The sequence below is a fragment of the Homo sapiens genome, chromosome 4 (genome assembly GCF_000001405.40).
Source record: "Homo sapiens chromosome 4, GRCh38.p14 Primary Assembly".
NCBI lineage: Eukaryota > Metazoa > Chordata > Mammalia > Primates > Hominidae > Homo > Homo sapiens.
In genome coordinates, this window is record NC_000004.12 from 70,670,197 (window position 1) to 70,690,826 (window position 20,630).

General features: G+C 39.5%; 1 protein-coding gene and 1 long non-coding RNA gene across 6 annotated transcripts, besides 4 other annotated features; both read left to right on the top strand.

The window, feature by feature from the left end:
* The first annotated feature begins 8,461 nt into the window (after window positions 1-8,461).
* Window positions 8,462-16,620, top strand: LOC101927297 (uncharacterized). Of its 5 annotated transcripts, none has more exons than XR_938860.3 (4): window positions 8,462-8,546; window positions 8,981-9,081; window positions 11,303-11,403; window positions 16,411-16,620. It is a non-coding gene; the product is annotated as an uncharacterized LOC101927297 (long non-coding RNA). The 5 variants fall into 5 exon arrangements; XR_938863.3 differs by lacking the exon at window positions 16,411-16,620 and adding an exon at window positions 12,032-12,488; XR_245251.4 differs by lacking the exon at window positions 16,411-16,620 and adding an exon at window positions 11,970-12,090.
* Window positions 17,261-18,231: an enhancer, noted in NCBI's record as "H3K27ac hESC enhancer chr4:71553174-71554144 (GRCh37/hg19 assembly coordinates)". NCBI's record gives its function as "activates a minimal SCP1, AML or CMV promoter by ChIP-STARR-seq in naive H9 embryonic stem cells {active_cell/tissue: H9 hESC(naive)}" and the evidence as "EXISTENCE:reporter gene assay evidence [ECO:0000049][PMID:30033119]".
* Window positions 17,612-17,701: an enhancer, noted in NCBI's record as "active region_21600". NCBI's record gives its function as "activates an Ori minimal core promoter by ATAC-STARR-seq in GM12878 lymphoblastoid cells {active_cell/tissue: GM12878}" and the evidence as "EXISTENCE:reporter gene assay evidence [ECO:0000049][PMID:35858748]".
* Window positions 18,232-19,200: an enhancer, noted in NCBI's record as "H3K27ac hESC enhancer chr4:71554145-71555113 (GRCh37/hg19 assembly coordinates)". NCBI's record gives its function as "activates a minimal SCP1, AML or CMV promoter by ChIP-STARR-seq in naive H9 embryonic stem cells {active_cell/tissue: H9 hESC(naive)}" and the evidence as "EXISTENCE:reporter gene assay evidence [ECO:0000049][PMID:30033119]".
* On the top strand, window positions 18,336-20,355 carry UTP3 (UTP3 small subunit processome component). The gene has a single exon (NM_020368.3). It carries the CDS (start codon window positions 18,482-18,484, stop codon window positions 19,919-19,921), a length of 1,440 nt encoding a protein of 479 aa, NP_065101.1. The 5' UTR covers window positions 18,336-18,481; the 3' UTR covers window positions 19,922-20,355.
* Window positions 18,402-18,461: an enhancer, noted in NCBI's record as "active region_21601". NCBI's record gives its function as "activates an Ori minimal core promoter by ATAC-STARR-seq in GM12878 lymphoblastoid cells {active_cell/tissue: GM12878}" and the evidence as "EXISTENCE:reporter gene assay evidence [ECO:0000049][PMID:35858748]".
* Window positions 20,356-20,630: the final 275 nt, after the last annotated feature.

The window sequence follows — 20,630 nt, forward strand, 5'->3', positions numbered from 1 at the left end:
ACCAATCTCTTTCTGTCTCAAGTTTTCCCCCATCTCAGTAAATGACACCTCCATCAGTTACTCAAGCCAAAATCCTCTTCTTTGCTTCCTTTCTTTTCCTCTCCCCTACATCCAATTTACCAGCATGACCTGTCGGCTTTCTCTCCAAAACATATCCCAAATTCATCTGATTCTCTCCGTTTTCACTACCAACCTAGTCCAAGCCTCCATCCTCTTTCCTGGACTACCATAATAGCTTCTATAATTAAAAAGTAACTTTTCCTTTCCCTCAGCATTGGTGACTAAGGCACACAGATCATAAACAAGAATGACTAAGTACCACAAATCTAAAGCAAGCCAAATATTTCCTCCAAGGTTTGTTAAGAGGCAACGAAGCCAGACACAGTGGTGCATGCCTGTAGTCCCAGCTACTCAGGAGGCTAAGGCAGGAGGATCGCTTGAGGCCAGGAATTGAAGGCAAGGCTAAGGAAGATAACAGTAGTTTTCAATGTATAACTATTATGTACACATACAATTTTTTTCTAAAAAGAGGCAACAAAACTCAATCTACTTCCATCAACCACCACTCCACCGCTCCCATACACTCCCATCTCATCTTTAGAAGACTAGGGAGGGAAGAGGGGGGATGTTATAAGAGCAGCTGTTACCTTGTTGAAATCATAGTGTTTGTAATAAGAGACTCCCACACACATATCCCACCTCGCTTCACCCTTGGGAGAGTAGAGAGTAAAGGTGGGGCACCTTCCTCTCCCCAGATTCAAGTGAGGGAGAGTTTCAAGAAAATCACCCAAGAGATCAGGGACCCTAAAAGCAGGGGAGATTGAGAAGCAATATAGCATAATAGTTAAGAGAAAGGGCTCTGAACCTGACTGATTGGGTTTATCCCCCAATTCCACCACTCTCTAGCTAGGTAACACTGGACAAACCTTGAACAAATCACTTAATCTCTCTTAATTTCCTCTATCTGTAAAAGGGGGAAATAACAATATATGCTTCACAGGATTGTTGTCAGGTTAATATTTATTACATCTATTACATCATGTGAAGAAGTTAGATCTTGGCACACAATAAGTGTTATGTAAGTACTAGTTACTTATTATTATCATCGTCGTCATCATTATGTCTTAACTCCTTGTGGAGTTGCAGAAAATGCAGCTACCAACTGCAATGAAGTTTGGGGAAAGCATTCCTGGGAGAACCTGACATGGCCCCTTGGGTTGTGGATGTGCAGGAATATCAAAAATGATACATGATCATGCTATATAAAGTATAAATGAAAATGTCCAAAGTTTCCAACTTAGGATGGGTGAGGAGGAAGTTCACTTGGAAGATATGTTAGCTTTATTTGTAATAGCCTAAAGCTGGAAGCAGTCTAAATGTCCAAAAACAAATTGGATAAACAAATTGTGGTATATCCATTACTCAATAATAAAAATGAATAAGCTATTAATAGACACAATATGGATGAATCTCAAAATAATTATTCTGAGGGAAAGAAGCCAGATAAAAATTTTTTTAAGAAAGTACAGGCTGGGCACAGTGGCTCACTCCTGTAATCCCAGCACTTTGGGAGGCCAAACTGGGCAGAACGCAAGGTCAGGAGTTCAAGACCAGCTTGACCAACATGGTGAAACCTTGTCTCTACTAAAAATACAAAAATTAGCCGGGTGTGGTGGTGGGTGCCTGTAATCCCAGCTACATAGGAGGCGGAGGCAGGAGAATCGCTTGAACCCGGGAGGCAGAGTTTGCAGTGAGCGAGGTCGCGCCATTGCACTCCAGCCTGGGCGACAGAACAAGACTCTGTCTCAAAAAAAAAAAAAAAAAAAAAAAAAGAAGAAGTACATAGTGTATGATTCTATATTTGGATATATTTATATTTTTTTCTAGAAAATTCAAACAAATGCATAGTGACAGCAGATCAGTGATTATCTGGGAAGGTGGGGACAGAGAGAAGGGAAGGCGGGACTATAAGTCTATAAAAGGACATAAGGAAGCTTTTGGAGATGATGAATATGTTCATTATCTTAGTGGTGATAATGAATTCACAGGTGTACACACATGTCAAAATTGATCAAATTGTACAGTTCAAATGTGTGCAGTGCACTGTATGTCAGTTACATCTCAGTAAAGCTATTAAAAAGTTCACATCTTCAGAATTCAGTTTTTTAAGTATGATGTTAGGTTTTTCTTGGGTGCCCTTTACCAAGTTGAGGAAGTTCCCTTCTCTTCCTGGTTTGCTGTGAGTTTTTATCAGAAGTGAACATTGAATATTTGTCAAATATTTTTTCTCTGTCTATTGAGATAACCATATGGTTTTCCTTTTTTTGTTTAATATGGTGAATTACATTTATTTTTAAATGTTAAACTAACCTTACATTCCTAGAATAAACCCCACTTAGTTATGATATAACATCCTTTTCATAAATTTTGAATTTTATTTACCAAAATTTTGCTTAGAATTTCTGCTTTTATATTCATGAGGGATAATTGATTTAAAATGTTCTTTTCTTGTAATGTCTTTGCATGGTTTTGTTACTACAATAATGCTGTCCTGAAAAGATGAGTTTAGAAGTATTTCCCCCTCTCCAATTTTCTGGAGGAGTCTGTGTAGAATTAGTATTATTTTTCCTTAAATGTTTGGCAGAATTCCTCCAGTGAAGCCATGGCCTGGGAACTCTCTCCAAGGCAACATGGGGCAATGGTCTCCTTATTTGTTTCCAGTCTCTCCGAAATCACTGTCCTGCATTGCCTAATGTCTTGAAAACCAGTGTTTCTTCCGCATGTTCTCACTCACAGGTGGGAATTGAACAATGAGAACACTTGGACACAGGATGGGGAATATCACACACCAGGGCCTGTCATGGGGTGGGGGGAGTGGGGAGGGATAGCATTAGGAGATATACCTAATGTAAATGATGAGTTAATGGGTGCAGCACACCAACATGGCACATGTATACATATGTAACAAACCTGCATGTTGTGCACATGTACCCTGGAACTTAAAGTATAATAATAATAATAATAATAAAAAGAAAACCAGTGTTTCTTAAATTTTGTCAGTTTTTTCTAGTTGGTTCAAATGGCAGGGAAAATCTGCACCGTTATTCCATCTTGTTTAGCATTGGAGACTTGAAATTAAGAGTGAGTTTGAGATACAAGCTTTTAGACTGAACTAGACTTTTAAAAAATGAGCTTTACTATTTATGGCACTTTTACAATCACAGCAAATAAACTAGATTTTTTAATAATGAAAAAATATTTTTAAATTACGGAATCTTCTTAAAACATTGTCAAAAAGGCAAAGAAAAATTCAATTATAGTAATTGAGAGGCAATAATTGGACGAAAATATGGTTTCATGTTATAACTCATTAAACTGTTCACTGTTCCAAACTCTTCTCTAGTCTTACCTGCCACAATTCATTGTCCACTTACCATGAAAAGTGATCTTTTCAAAGGTAAATCAGATCATATCTGATTTAAAACCCTCCAGTGGCTTCTCATTACACTTAGAATAAATTCAGAGTCATTAGCCTTCCTGATTTCCTGCAACTCCCCCTTCCACTCATCTCTCTCCAGCTACTCTGCTCAAGGCTTTCGTATTGTCTTAGTCCCTCTGCCTGCAACACTTTCCATAGCCTTGCATGGCTGGCCCCTTACCACCAAGTCTCAATTCCAATGTCATTGCCTCAGAGAGAAATTTTCTGGCTGATAATCTTCCTAACCAATTACCAATCATTATCATATTGCCCTGTTTTATTTTCTTCATAGTTTTTATTATTGTTTGAAATTCTTTAGTTTACTTAGTCGTAACTGTCTCCTCCTCATTAAAATAAAAGCTCCTTAAGAGCGGCATTGTCTTGTTGCTTACTTCTGTTTCCAAGAACAAGCGCAGGATTGCCTCAAGTATATTGATTGAATGAAGGATGAATGGAGAACGTTTTTACAAGGAGTTGAAAACTGCCTCTAAGTTTATGTCTTCTAACAATATTAGTCTCTTTTGTGGATAGGCTCCATATTGTCAATGTCCTATTTAAAGAGTAGTATCTAGATACATATTCAATAGTCAAGTGTAATCTGGACAGTACAAACAACAGCTGAACTTAACATTTTTCAATAAATCCCACTTAAGATGATAATATCTCTTTTTTGGCAGCTATGTTACACTATTGGCTTCAATTAAAGTGTACAATCTCATTTTTAAAAATATGTTTCTATAAAGTAATGACTTTCCCATATTTAAAATTTAAACAAGTTAGGATTTGGGCATGAGATTTAGCATTGGTCCCTAAGTTTTATCTTGCTAAACTCAGACCAACATTACAATGTCTCAGATTCTTTTTAAATCCAGATTCAGAAACCTTGCACATTAGTTCTTTCTCTCAGCTTTACAGTATCTGCAAACTTGACACATGCCATCGGATCCTTACTGAAGTCATTAAGAAAAATGTTTAATGGGATAGTGCTTAAGATAGACTTTTGCAGCATACATCTAAAGTCCTATCTCTATCAATATCAGTCCATTAATAAGCACATTTTGGGTGCAGTAGTTCATCTCAAGTTAACTCATAATCCATACTATCACACAGACTCAAAGTCTGGGTTTTATCCATAAGGTAACATGAATACTTATCATAAAAGGCCAATCTCTCCTTTATTCTCTATTTTAATGTCATCTCATTTCTCCCCTTGAAAGCCTTCCCTAATATAAAAGGAGTCTTGATAGCAGCCTGGCATTTTGCCACTTGAACTCTTAAAAGGGACGATGATATTTTTTAACAGGCTTCTTGGCCTTAAATCCAAAATGCAGCTGAAATCTCTTGATTTTCCTTTTAATGGATTAATTTCTACATTTAGTGTAATAATTCACATTTCCCATTTGTCCTTGAACTTTATATGGAAAACAAATTTTACTAATAAATAGTACTGCTTAATCAGCTCTAAAAATTAGGAGGGAAAATATGAAGTCTACAAGAAACCTTGAATTAAATGTCAACCTGTAAATTCCAAGTAACCCAAAAATCTTTTAGATTTAGAAATAACTTATCAGTGTTCCCAAATGTGCTAGAAAAAAGAAATCCTTTTTGTGTGTGTGATACCCTAAATATATCTGACAGAATCTTCAGTATTATTATAAGTGGTAAGTGAATTGAAAGAGCATCATCAGTCCTGGATCTCCCTAAAAAGTATCGTCTTTCATTTCCTTAGCACTCTCATGAATATATTCCAGAATCTATTTATTTCAGAGGACATAAAAAGAAATAATTTTAAAAGAATACTGTAAAATGTATACTCGAGATAAGCATTTTATATCTGACAAATTTACAAAGTCTATTACAGAGGAACTCCATGACTACTTTTACAACCAGGTATATATAACAATCCCAGAAACCCAGAATTAAATGACACACTTGCAAGGAATACAGAGAGGAAAGTAAGATATTTATTTCCCTAAAACATAGATTCTAAAATATGTCAAATGGCCATTGAAAGCACAGCCTTTAACTCTTCTCCGTGTATACCATCTCTCTAACTTCTATACGTTTGAGACACTAGACAATACAAAAGTAACTTTTGAATCAATCCAGAGAAATAAACTGAAGGAAGATTCTATTAGCACTGAACGAAAGATCTGCTGCCAAGAGAAGCTAACAGCAAAAACCATCTCCACTCCATCAAAAACCATCTCCACTCCAACAAAGTGGAAAATTCATTATATGTGTGTGTATATATACTTATCATGAATATATAACTGCTATTAACTTAATACTACAAAACTAAAAGTCCCCAAATATCCCAGAATTTCACAAATCAGTCAAGCATAAAATTACTAACAAAGGATAAAGAGGAAGATGTTTTTTGTGTTGTGTGTTTTTTGTTTTTTTTTTTTTTGAGATGGAGTCTCATTCTGCTGCCCAGACTGGAGTGCAGTGGCGCAACCTTGGCTCACTGCAACCTCCGTCTCCCAGGTTCAGGCAATTCTTGTGCCTCAGCCCCCCGAGTAGCTGGGACTACAGACATGCACCGCCACGCCTGGCTAATTTTTGTATTTTTAGTAGAGACGGGGTTTTACCATGTTGGCCAGGCTGATCTTGAACTCCTGACCTCAAGTGATCCACCGGCCTCAGCCTCCCAAAGTGCTGGGATTACAGATGAGAGCCACCGCGCCCAGCCTGGTTGTTTTACTATGACAAAACTGAGGTATAGCCCTTGATCTGACAATCGGTCCTCCTACCAAGATCCTTGCTGGGTTGCTCTGAACTTCCTAAAACTCCTATAGGGCACTCTGTGTCCAAATCCACAAGAGCACACATGACTTATCTGGAATAATTATCAATAAAAGTTTTAAAATATGTTTAATAATATTAAGGAGTACAGAAGCAATTGCAACTATATTTGCAATGTTTGGGAGGGACATTATTCTGCCTAACCTAGAGTCAGGCAAACACTATTCCAAGAAAGGAAACAACAAGTAAAAAGCACAAAATAAGAAAGAGCTTGGCCCACACAGGATGAGGAGCAGGAAGGAAGGCACTTGTAGCTGCAGCAGAGTGAGGGGGAGAATCATAGTAGATAACAACACCATGCACTTTATAGGATTAACTTTTTTCCCCCATTTTTTTTTTTTTTAGATGGAGTCTCTCTCTGTCACCCAGGATGGAGTGCAGTGACATGATCTCGGCTTACCGCAACCTCCGCTTCCTGGGTTCAAGCGATTATCCTGCCTCAGCCTCCTCAGGAGCTGGAACTACAGGCATAAACCACCACACCTGGCTAATTTTCGTCTTTTTCAGTAGAGGTGGGGTTTCACCATGTTGGCCAGGCTCATCTCAAACTCCTGACCTCAAGTGATCTACCCACCTTGGCCTCCCAAAGTGCTGGGATTACAGGCGTGAGCCACCATTCCTGGCCTTTTCCCCCATTTCAATTGTACAAGCTTAGAATCTATTTTGAACTTCAGAATCAATCTTAGTCATTCTAAAGCTAAAGGTAGAGAGCCTAAGCCTCTTAACTTACAGTCCATTTTACCTCTCACAATACCAAGAGCCATTAATACTATTTTTTCACATCTATATGGAGAAATTTCTTCTAATTGGCATTTTTTGGGGGTGGGGGAATTGAAAGATTAGACTGAATCATTTCACAATGTGATGTTTTGATTATGTATACCTTGTGAAATGATACAAAACTTAGAAATCTGTAATTTAAATAAGTGAAATAATCAAAAATGATTTTGTCTAACAAAAATGCTTTAGCTGGCTGAACACGGTGGCTCATGCCTGTAATCCCAGAACTTCAGGAGGCTGAGGTTGATGAATCACCTGAGGTCAGAAGTTTGAGACCAGCCCAGCCAACGTAGTAAAACCCCAGCTCTACTAAAAATACAAAAATTAGCTGGGTGTGGTGAAGTACATCTGTAGTCCCAGCTACTTGGGAGGCTGAGGCAGGAGAATCACTTGAACCCAGGAGGAGGCTGCAGTGACCCAAGATCACACCGCTGCACTCCAGCCTTGGCAACAAAGCAAGACTCTGTCTCAAAAAAATATATATATATTTAGCTATTTTTGCAGAGATATACACTGAATGATTTTTTCTGATATTATATAAGCATTGAATGATTAAAAGTCAAACAGAGCATTTTTACTCAACTTTGATACCCTTTGATACCCTCCTTCCTAATCTTTGTGACTTCCAACCTCATTAAATGTCTGATAATACTAACTGCCATTTTTTAACCCTAAACATTTTCGTTCTTATATGCAGAGTTTCTTCAAATATTGATCTCTATCCAAGCACAGTGTATGTAAAATTTATATTTAGATATCAGGAGGCAAAAGCTGGTCAGTTGGGTGCAGTGGCTCACGCCTGTAATCCCAACACTTTGGGAGGCCAAGGCAAGCAGATCATTTGGGGTCAGGAGTTAAAGACCAGCCTGGCCAACATGGTGAAACCCCATCTCTACTAAAAATACAAAAATTAGCTGGGAATGATGGCGCATGCCTGTAATCCCAGATACTCGGGAGCTGAGGCAGGAGAATTGCTTGAACCTGGGATACAGAGGTTGCAGTGAGCCAAGATCATGCCACTGCACTCCAGCCTGGGCGACAGAGTGAGACTCCATTTCAAAAAAAAAAACAGAGGCAAAAGCTGAATTTAAAAAAAAAAACCCTCAAAATATGAAGAAGAAACTTCATTCCAAATTCTTACTAAAAATTAAAAAATACAAACCAAAAAATTGACTTCTTTTTCTCGAACAGCTTTCCACATAGACTTTTAGGGTAGTCCTTCTGTGGTTAAATGTTTATGAGGAGAATTGCACCTGTGTTGTGGTCAGCTTTTAAATAAACTTGCACCTGCAGTGGTTTTTCATAGAATTGCTGTTTGAGAAATTACATGTCAGTGGTTTGACCATCACACAGAGCTATTTCCCTTCACCATATCACCTGCCAGGCAGGTCCTAATTTAAAAAGGGCCTACTTCCAAAAATTCATTTGAAAAAAAATCTGGTTAGATTTCATGGTAATCTCTCCAGGGACACAATAATAAGTAAGGTTTCCAGGATACCCCTCAAACAAAAAGAATATGCTCCCTTCAATTCATCCATTGCAGTGGTCTGGTCCTTCTCTGCTTTAAGAAAACTTCTGATTTCTGGAGAGGCTTCTGCTCTAGTCAATTATGTCTGCTTTCCTTTTCCTGTATATTATCTGCTAATTCCTGTTTCAGAATCTTTTTTAGTTTGTCATTTTCCTTACCATAAATTTATTTCTCTTTCCTTCCTGTTCATCCTCATAAAAAACCCTAAAATCTTTCAAACTAATTCAAGTAGGTCTAAATGTCATTCCATTCTGTTCACTCTTTTACTTTGTTTCTTCATTGCTAATAAATTCATCTTGTATCTTGTATACCATTTTACTCAGCTGGCATATTACTTTATCACTTTTCTTCATATGTGTGTAATTTTATATATTAATGTTTTCTAGATGCAGAGAGGTGTTCATAAAGAGCAATATCAGATGGCACCCCAAAAAAGGATATGAAAGAACACCAAAAGGGAACTCTAAAGATTTAGTTGGAAAAGTAGGTAAGAAAATACAATTTTCTTGTTCTAACTCTTCTATTCAGAGTGTTTACATCATATGTAAGTGCCATACTAAGTTCATTTTCCCTAATAACGAGAAAGCATAAATCTGTGGTGAGGAATATCCAGTCAGTTATTTTTAAAATATCAGATGCAACTGTAAAGATGTGTCTTAAGAGACACTTCTACTTAGTCTTCCTACTGAACAAAAGAGCAAACGCTGTGGAGTCAGTTATTGCCTGGGTGCAAATGGGACTCTGACAAGTTATAAAATCTTGTTTTCTCTGTTTCATCTATAAAATGGGCATCACTGTAGTACATACTTCACAAGATTGATGAAAATTAAATTGATAAGTGTAAAGCATGGAATATGCTAGAACATGGCTACAACATATAAACAATTACTTTAGCATAATGCTTAGCTCTTGATCTGCCTACTTTTCATATCCATATTCCCAGGACCCTGATTTAGACACAAAAACGCATCACTCTGATGACTATCACCATCTTGCACCAACTTCCTTCTGTCAATTTTCCAATCCTTCCCTGTTTAAAACCCTCCAATGATTCCCCTTTGCTCATAGCATAAATAATATATCTCTACCCAAAATAGATATAGATCAAGATCACATTTGCAAATAGCTTATTAAATTCTTAGGTCATTTTTAATAATTTCTAATACCTTATTGAAATTTAACAGAGCTTGGTTTTTTTTTTTTTTTTTTTTTTTGAGACAGAGTCTCACTCTGTTGCCCAGGCTGGAGTGCAGTGGTGCAATCTTGGCTCACTGCAACCTCCGCCTCCCAGGTTCAAATGATTCTCCTGCCTCAGCCTCCTGAGTAGCTAGGAGTACAGGTCTGGGCCACCACACCCAGCTAATTTTTGTATTTTTAGTAGAGATGGGGTTTCACCATGTGGGCCAGGCTGCTCTCGAATTCCTGGCCTCAAACAATGCACCTGCCTCGGCCTCCCAAAGTGCTGGGATTACAGGCATGAGTCACTGCGCCCAGCCAATCCAAGCCTTTTTAATTTGACACCTGGAGATATGTAGTCCTATAACTCTAGTAGCAGGTAGGTAGTATAACACTTTTGGTCTACTAGTTCACGTGTGCTAGTTACTTAAGTCAGAACAACCCAAAATTATATTTTATTTGCCTTTAGTTAAATATCAAATATGGTCCCACGTTTCAACTGAATTTTAAAGACATCAAAAATTTCTTTCTCTAAAGAGATCCATATATCAAACCATCTAGAAGACATCTAGACACTTAAATAGCTTCACAGACACCTCAAATCAAACATATACAAAACTTAACTTCCCATTTCTTGGCCCCTGCTTAAATCTTTTTTTTTTTTTTTTTTTTTTGAGATGGAGTCTCGCTCTGTCGCCCAGGCTGGAGTGCAGTGGCGTGATCGCAGCTCACTGCAACCTCTGCCTCTTGGATTCAAGCAATTCTCCTGTCTCAGCCTCCCAAGTAGCTGGGACTACAGGCATGCACCACCACACCAGGCTAATTTTTGTAACTCCTGGCCTCCAACAATCCACCCACCTCGGCCTCCAAAGTGCTGGGATTACAGGCATGAGCCACCACGCCCGGCCAAGACAAGTACATAACTAGTCTTAACACAAAGGAGAAAATGTTTAGAAATCCCTAAGAAAGGAAGAGTTAGGGACTATTAGATGTTAATAGAATGAAGTATATCAGAGAAGACAGCCTAGAGAAGACACAATCTTAGCTGGGCCTTGAAGGCCATATAAGCATTGAAATATGAGACAGCCCAAAGAGAGGCCAAGAGAATAAAAATCTCAAAAAGAGAAAAAAAAATGAGTACATAGTTTGGCTAGAACATATAATTCATGAAAGTGGGAAAGCAGCTGGAAAAATAAGTTGGGGCCAGATAAAGGCAGGCCCTGAATATTGGCTTAGAGATAAGAACTTGATTCTATAGAGAATGAGGGGTGACTAAAGAAAAAATTTTAACATGGGCTGTGTTTCAAAAGACCTTCACCACCAAAGCTATAATTATCACTGGGTCAATATTTAAATCAAAATAATTGTAGTTACAAGTTTTCCCATGAAAAGAAAAAACTAAAAGGGATTAAATAATGTTTAGAAAGTAATTGCCAAGTTTTTAGTTGAATTAGAGTTTGGAAGGGAAAGCAGTGTCGTAATTTCACTAAATTCTTCATTTTGTAATGAAGGCTACCAAACCTGTTTTCTAGATGCAGAGAGGTGTTCATAAAGAGCAATATCAGATGGCACCCCAAAAAAGGATATGAAAGAACACCAAAAGGGAACTCTAAAGATTTAGTTGGAAAAGTAGGTAAGAAAATACAATTTTCTTGTTCTAACTCTTCTATTCAGAGTGTTTACATCATATGTAAGTGCCATACTAAGTTCATTTTCCCTAATAAGGAGAAAGCATAAATCTGTGGTGAGGAACATCCAGTCAGTTATTTTAAATTAAGTTAAATTAAAGATTAAAAGCTTCAAATATTTACCAAATATTTCAGTAGAAGCTCTATATTTTACTTCCAAGTCACTTTTAGGACTTTTGGGACTTAAAATAGATACAGACCTTATTTGCAAAAAGAATCTGTGACATATTTGTTTCAGAGTAAGTGGTTTCTGACAGATGAAACTAGATGAAATGAAAGCAGATGGCAAACTTCATCCATTTTCTTTCTTATAACTAAAAATAATCTTTCTTTCTTTTTTGCATCCAAAAATAGTTCAGCATGTTTCTGGGGTTATATTAAATTATCCAAATATATTGATAGGTACTAACACCAAGAATACATTTTCCCAATATAACTCTTATATCAAATTATTATTTTTACTATTACTACCTTTATGCACATTTTTAAGAAAAGCTACTTCTTTTGACAGCTTCAGTCATCCTAGCCTAGTCTGTGATGCTGGGAAAAAACGTAATATGCTGTTTATTGCAGCACTATTCACAATAGCAAAGACTTGGAACCAACCCAAATGTCCAACAATGATAGACTGAATTAAGAAGATGTGGCACATATACACCATGGAATACTATGCAGCCATAAAAAAGGATGAGTTAACGTCCTTTGCAGAGACATGGATGAAGCTGGAAACCATCATTCTGAGCAAACTATCACAAGGACAGAAAACCAAACACCACATGATCTCACTCATAAGTGGGAACTGAACAATGAGAACACTTGGTCATAGGGTGGGGAACATCACACACTGGGGCCTGTCATGCGGTGGGGGGCAGAGGGAGGAATAACACTGGGAGAGATACCTAATGTAAATGACGGGTTGATGGATGCAATGGGCCAGCATGGCACATGTAACGAGCCTATGTAACGAGCCTGCACGTTGTGCACATGCACCCTAGAACTTAAAGTATAATAATAAAAATTAAAAAAACAACGTAATACGCATTCAACTATAGTCTTCTTTTTTTTTTTTTTTTTTTTTTTGGAGACAGAGTCTTGCTCTGTCACCCAGGCTGGAGCACAGTGGCGCGATCTCAGCTCACTGCAACCTCCACCTCCTGGGTTCAAGCGATTCTCCTGCCTCAGCCTCCCGAGTAGCTGGGACTAGAGGTGTGCACCACCACGCCCAGCTAATTTTTGTATTTTTAGTAGAGACAGGGTTTCACCACGTTAGCCAGGCTGGTCTCAAACTCCTGACCTCAGACAATCTGCCCACCTCAGCCTCCCAAAGTGCTGAGATTACAGGTGAAAGCCACCACGCTGAGACTCAACTATTGTCTTAAGTTCATGAAAGCTATATATTAAATATTTCACCTTGTTAATTACTTTTAAATTTGAAGAGCTATGCTGATAACTATGGAAGCTCAAAAGACACTACGTTGTTAAAGGCTACTGCTTTGAAGTGCTGACAGAGTACAGAAACATACATACCTGGACTGACTGACTGCATTTCCACTACCTTCTCACACCCCACTCCAGCCAAGAAAGATTACTATTTAATCTAGTGTCTATCTTGGAAACCATAATCTTTGGAGTCTGAACTTGGCTATGGATGCTAAAGGAAAAAGTCACTGTCCACCTAACAACAAAAATCAGGTACAATTACACATAATTGATAGAGAGGAAGTTTGAGATCTATGCAGGACTGTGGTGATGAAGCATATGAATTTGATCCTATAGACCAAGCTTGTCCAACCCACAGCCTGCAGGCCATATGCAGCCCAGGAGAGCTTTGAATGCACCCCAACACAACTCTGGAAAGTTTCTTAAAAGATTGTAAGTTCTTTTGCGATTTTTTTTTTTTTTTTTTGAGATGGAGTCTAGCTCTGTCACCGAGGCTGGAGTGCAGTGCCGCGATCTTGGCTCACTGCAACCTCTGCCTCCCGGGTTCAAGCGATTTTCCTGCCTCAGCCCCCCGAGTAGTTGGGATTACAGGCGTGTGCCACCACGCTTGGCTAATTTTTGTATTTTTAGTACAGATGGAATTTCACCATGTTGGCCAGGCTGGTCTTGAACTCCTGACCTCAGGTGATCTGCCCACCTCAGCCTCCCAAAGTGCTGGGATTATAGGTTTGAGCTTCCGTGCCCAGCCAGCTATTGTTAGTGTTAGTGTATTTTATGTGTGGCACAAGACGATTCTTCTTCCAGTGTGGCCCAGGGAAACCAAAAGATTAGACACCCCTGCTATAGACATTGGGAAGCTAAAAGATTGGACACCCCTGCTATATAGACGTTGGGACGCTTCTGCAGGATTTTAAGTTAGGAATTGATATAGTCATTTTTTGTTTGCTCATTTGTTTTTTAATTAAATCTCAGGTGCAGTTAATTATTCTCCTCAGTTCCTGACATTATTATTGGTCTGTGGAAATGTCCTCTTCTATTCCTTTTAATCTCCAACCCTTATCCCATTCTTCATCTTCCACAAACAGCTATTCTTTTGTGTTTAATGTATATTATTTTGTTTGATTATATTCCTACAAAATGTGTATTGTTACATTATTGTGCCTGCATTTTTAATTTTTGTGAATGGTATATTATTTATTACATTCTATTTTTTACTTTTTTCCCTTAGCACATTGTTTTAAAAATCCATTCATGTTGCCATATGGATATATAATCTACTGCTTCCAATTACTATATAGTTAAAATCACTATAAAATGTATCATCTTAGCCAGGCATGGTGGCTCAAGCCTGTAATCCCAGCACTTTGGGAGGACAAGGGGTGGATCACCTGAGGTCAGTAGTTCGAGACCAGCCTGGCCAACATGGTGAAACCCCGTCTCTACTAAAAATACAAAAATCAGCCAGGCGTGGTGGCAGGCACCTGTAATACCAGCTACTCGGGAGGCTGAGGTGGGAGAATTTCTTGACTCTGGGAGGCGGAGGTTGCAGTGAGCTGAGATCGCACCATTGCACTCCAGCCTGGGTGACAACAGTGAAACTCTGTCTCAAAAAAAAAAATTATCATCTTAATCATGAGAGTGAAAGGAGGTGCTATTAATAATTACACTGGGATAACAGGTTAAACAGGGCCATCCAGGGCAAGCCAGAATGTATGATCACCCTATGCTCCTAAATTCCATGCTGTTCTTCCACAACATTTTATTGATCTGCTCTTCCAGTGACGGATATCCAGGTTGTCTCTAACTCGCTGCTACCAAAAATAACTTTTCAAATAGCTTCGCACAGGTCCCCTTATGGATGGGCTTATGTGAGAATTTCTTAACCAAAAAGATATCTGCAATGATTTATAAATTTCTGATACAGGTAATTCTGAACACCCAGAAGATTGGTAAAGTGACAAATGAGAATAAAGCATAGTAGAGTACTTAGCTTAGCATTGAAGGTTTTTGTAGTAATGAAAGGTATGACTGGAAAGGTTGTTTTGGGGTAAAACTTTAGGACAGCCATGTATGCTGTAAATTTTGTTAGTAAACGAAAGTTTTTACTATCTGGATAGTAAATGAAAGTTTCTGAACCAGGATATGCGGTGACAGAAATGATATTCTAGGAAGATATATCTGATGTACCAGATCAAATGTACCAGAGACTAAAAGGAGGAGACCTATTAAAGGAAAAGTTGAAAGCCAGTATAGTATAGTAGTTAGTTATAGCACAACATGGATTCTGAAGCTGGACTGTTCTAGTTTAAATCTAGTTCTAACACTTATTAGCTTTATGACCTCACTTAAGCTATATGCGCCTAATTTTCTCATCTCCAATTACAGATTATTATAGTAACTTTTCACAGGGTTATAATGGTTTCAAGAGCTTGTAATGGTATCTAGCACACAATAACCACTCTCAATGTTAGCTATTATTAATTATAATTGTTTCAATAGTCCAGGAAGAAATAAAGATTAGTTTAAGCTAATGTGATCATACAATACCTCCAACACCCAGAATAAATGCCCTGAAAGAAGTATCCTAATGTATCATCACCTAATGTGTCATTCATAGACTCCCTAATTTCCATAGTAAGAAAATCCCATAAAGGGCTTAGAGTAAGGCAAAAACAATTTTTTTTTAACCTGCTGGCTCTCATTAGTGTAACTTGCTAACTCCTGAGCCAGACATCACAATAAAATAAAGATTCAGATTGGCTGGGTGCGATGGCTCACACCTGCAATCCCAGCACTTTGGGAGGCTGAGGTGGGCAGATCACCTGAGGTCAGGAGTTTGAGACCAGCCTGGCTAACATGGTGAAACCCCATCTCTACTAAAAAAAAAAAAAAAAAAAACACACAAAAAAATTACCCAGGTGTGGTGGCAGGTGCCTGTAATCCCAGCTACGTGGGAGGCTGAGGCAGGAGAATCAATTGTTCTTTATCAAAAGGATCTGAAAAACTGGGTGAAGCGGCACGCACCTTTAGTCCCAGCTACTCAGGAGGCTGAGGCAGGAGATCACTTAAGCCCAGGAGTTCTACCCAGCCTGGGGAACACAGCAGGCACCTGTCTCTAAAAACAAAGGATCTGAGAATGTTAGAATACGATACTCTCTGAATATGCATTGAATACTGCAACTCTGTTCTGGTTAGGAAATTTAACATTTAGTATAAACTAAATAATATTAATGTGATCATTCCCATTTAAAATATCCAAAATATTTTTCTAACTTATATATAATAGTATATGCATTTTAGTCTTGAAGTCTGACACTAAATTCTCAAATAATTTGCAATAAAAATGAAAAATTTTTATTTATGTGCCTAAATGCAACAGTGTTTAAATAATGAAAATTTAACATTTAAAGTAAGGAAATAACTACAATTCCAGCATAGATGTCATATTCTTTAAGCAATATTCCCAAAACAGCAATCTAAAGGTTATCTCTTATCCTTCTGTTCTCTTACAGCACCGGGTTTACATCATACACTGCCTTGTATTCCAGTAATCTGTATGAGTGTCTTCTTTTCTACCTGATTATACAGTCCTTAACTGGCTGATTCATCACTATTGTCTGTAGCATTCTACAACAAACAGTAAGCAGTTAATATCTGCTAAATGACAAAATGTACTAAAATTTACATTAAAAAATAAATTCATGCTTACCATCAGAACATAACTTTTGCCCACAACTTTCTAATTTAATTTTATTTTCTAAAATCTTGTAAAAATTTCAAAATGTTTCGGACACCTTTAGGCACTTGGAAAATGTTTATTTCAAAGTATCACTTTTCTAACATTTTGCATTATTTTTATTAACCTAATGACACTATACTTTCTGAAAAGAAATTGTCACCATTGGCTGGGCGCGGTGACTCACGCCTGTAATCAATCCCAGCACTTTGGGAGGCCGAGGCGGGCGTATCACGAGGTCAGGAGATGGAGACCATCCTGGCCAACATGATGAAACCCCGTCTCTACTAAAAATACAAAAATTAGCTGGGAGTGGTGGCGCGTGCCTGTAATGCCAGCTACTCGGGAGGCTGAGGGAGGAGAATCACTTGAACCAGGGGGTCGGAGGTTGCAGTGGGCCGAGATTGCCACTGCACTCCAGCCTGGCAACAGAGCGAGCCTCCGTCTCAAAAAAAAAAAAAGAAAAAAAGAAAAAGAAAAAAGAAACAAAAAACAAAAGAAAAAGAAATTGTCACCATTAATTTTATTTTATTTATTTATTTATTTATTTTGAGACAGAGTCTCTGTCTGTCGCCCAGGCTAGAGTGCAGTGGTGCGATATCGGCTTACTGCCACCTCCGCCTCCCGGGTTCAAGTGATTCTCCTGCCTCAACCTCCCGAGTAGCTGGGATTACAGGTACCCGCCACCACGCCCCGCTAATTTTTTGTATTTGTAGTAGAGACTGGGTTTCCCCATGTTGGCCAGGCTGGTTTTGCACTCCTGACCTCAAGTGATCCACCCACTTCGGCCTCCCAAAGTGCTTAGGATTATGGGCATGAGCCACCGCGCCCAGCCATGTCACCATTAATTTTAGCAACGTATCAAAAGTTCAGCTTCCAACTACCTACATTAAAAGGTATAATAATACTAACCCTGAACCTTACATATGTAATGCCTAAAAACTTACACCCTGAATTACTCTAACATTACAGGGCAGACTTCCTTGAGAAGAGTCAGACCCTGCAGCGGGGCTCTGCCTTCCCACTGTCAGCCTCGGGGTCATCTAGCTTTATCGATCCCCATGGAGCGGGTCACCGAGCCCTGTGAGCAGGGAGAGGGCGATGGGGATGAGTAAACCCGAGCCGGAGGCCCGGCCTGCGCTCTCGCCCGGAAACCTCCCGTGGGATTCTGGAGTCCAGCGGCGCTGCCTGAGGCTGTGGTACCCAGAAATATGGTATTGGGGGTGGGGGTGAAATGAGAGGAAAGCAATCTGATTAACTTCCAGCCTGATAAGCAGAAAAGAGAAAACAAGGGAGCAGGAAAACTACGCTAGCACTAGACTGCCGGTCGCAAGCGCCGGGTACACACGCAGTTAAACCTCAATGGAACGCCCCCGGGACTTCTCCGGGGCGTAAAGCGCAGCGCCCTCTATTGGCCATCGGGACCTCGCCTGGAGGTGCCGTCAGGATTCCGTCCCCCAGCCACTCCCAGGCACTCGAGAGTAAGCGCATTAGCCCGAGAAAGCGTTCTGTGGAACGGAACTTCCTTATCCTATCGTTTCCACACGGAAAGATTTTAATTCACCGGAATCGACTGGCGTTAAAGGGCACAGTGAAAAGGAAGTTGGTATCAACGTGATCTCGACTAAGGGACCGAGCGGAAGTCCTCAATCGTACGCCACGCGGAGAGCATGCTGGGGGCCGGAAGGAAGAGGAAATTCCAGTAGCCGATCAGGAGTCTGCAAACTCCGGTGGTAGGGGAGCGCGCTGCTGTTTAGAGCCACGAGTTACCGGAGCGCCTGATTCCTGCGCCGAAGTCAGTGGTGGCCGAAAGTCCGGAGTCGCTGTAAAACCTGAGATTGTGAGCCATGGTGGGGAGATCCCGGCGGCGCGGAGCAGCTAAGTGGGCAGCTGTGCGAGCCAAGGCAGGTCCCACGCTCACCGACGAAAATGGAGATGATTTAGGATTGCCACCCTCACCAGGGGACACCAGCTACTACCAAGATCAGGTAGATGACTTTCATGAGGCACGATCCCGGGCCGCCTTAGCTAAGGGCTGGAATGAAGTACAGAGTGGAGACGAGGAGGATGGCGAGGAGGAGGAGGAGGAGGTGCTAGCCCTAGATATGGACGATGAGGACGACGAAGATGGAGGGAATGCGGGGGAGGAGGAGGAGGAGGAGAATGCCGATGATGATGGTGGGAGCTCCGTGCAAAGTGAAGCTGAGGCCTCTGTGGATCCCAGTTTGTCGTGGGGTCAGAGGAAAAAACTTTACTATGACACGGACTATGGTTCCAAGTCCCGAGGCCGGCAGAGTCAACAGGAGGCAGAGGAGGAGGAAAGAGAGGAGGAGGAGGAGGCACAGATCATTCAGCGGCGCCTAGCCCAAGCGCTGCAAGAGGATGATTTTGGTGTCGCCTGGGTTGAGGCCTTTGCAAAACCAGTGCCTCAGGTAGATGAGGCTGAGACACGGGTCGTGAAGGATTTGGCTAAAGTTTCAGTGAAAGAGAAGCTGAAAATGTTGCGAAAGGAATCACCAGAACTCTTGGAGCTGATAGAAGACCTGAAAGTCAAGTTGACAGAGGTTAAGGATGAGCTGGAGCCATTGTTAGAGTTGGTGGAACAAGGGATCATTCCACCCGGAAAAGGAAGCCAATACTTGAGGACCAAGTACAACCTCTACTTGAATTATTGCTCGAACATCAGTTTTTATTTGATCCTGAAAGCTAGGAGAGTCCCAGCACATGGACATCCTGTCATAGAAAGGCTTGTTACCTACCGAAATTTGATCAACAAGCTGTCCGTTGTGGATCAGAAGCTGTCCTCAGAAATTCGTCATCTGTTGACACTTAAGGATGATGCTGTAAAGAAAGAACTGATTCCAAAAGCAAAATCCACCAAGCCCAAACCAAAGTCTGTTTCAAAGACTTCTGCTGCTGCCTGTGCTGTTACAGATCTTTCTGATGATTCTGATTTTGATGAAAAAGCAAAACTGAAGTACTATAAAGAAATAGAAGACAGGCAAAAGCTAAAGAGAAAGAAAGAAGAAAATAGCACTGAAGAACAGGCTCTTGAAGATCAAAATGCAAAGAGAGCTATTACCTATCAAATTGCTAAAAATAGGGGACTTACTCCTAGGAGAAAGAAGATTGATCGCAATCCCAGAGTGAAACACAGAGAGAAGTTCAGAAGAGCCAAAATTAGAAGAAGAGGCCAGGTTCGTGAAGTTCGTAAAGAAGAGCAACGTTATAGTGGTGAATTATCTGGCATTCGTGCAGGAGTTAAAAAGAGCATTAAGCTTAAATGAAGTTTTTGCTTAGCATAAGGTTTTTGGCAGTTTTGGATCAATAAATTTTTACTTTTAACTAAAGTCATTGTATTAATATATAATACTTTAAATTTTAAAAATTCTTGTCCACAAGGAAATTTGTCTGGGTTATTGGACAATTTATAAGAACTATGGGAGCAATATGAAGGTGCTTGAGAAAAGAGATGATGTTGAAGTTTTCCAATATTCTGTTGAAGTTTTCCAATATTAAGTATTAGCTTAGGGAAATTTCACAGTTCATTGTGGAGTGTTAAACTTAGAACATGTGTAACTTTTCACATAAAGAGAATGCATCTTTGACAGTTATCTTATTTGTAAGGCAGCCTATAAAATAGTTCTGAAGTATTTTATTTACCTAACTATAATTATTGGGCCAGATACTTGTTAATAAATGGGCTTAATGTTAACATGGATTTCATATGTTCTGTGTGGTTTAAAAGCATAGGAATGAAACTTTGGTTAAAAGCAGAAAAAGGAAAAGATATGCCTTAATTACATCAATTGTCAATATTTTCTCATAGTTCTTCATGTGGCAAATAAGGTAAAAATCCCATTTCCCCTTCTTTACTGGTGATTTGCAGTGGTTGCTGCTTGTACTTGCACTCCATTTGCTAAAACTTTGATATGATTACTACCAGGTAAGTGGTAACTTTAAGTGGCAACAAAGTTCCATTTTTCTTTTTTTTTT

What these genes read in the sequence shown, in the direction of transcription:
- UTP3 (NM_020368.3), top strand. Translation starts at nt 18,482, where the DNA reads ATGGTGGGGAGATCCCGGCGGCGCGGAGCAGCTAAGTGGGCAGCTGTG.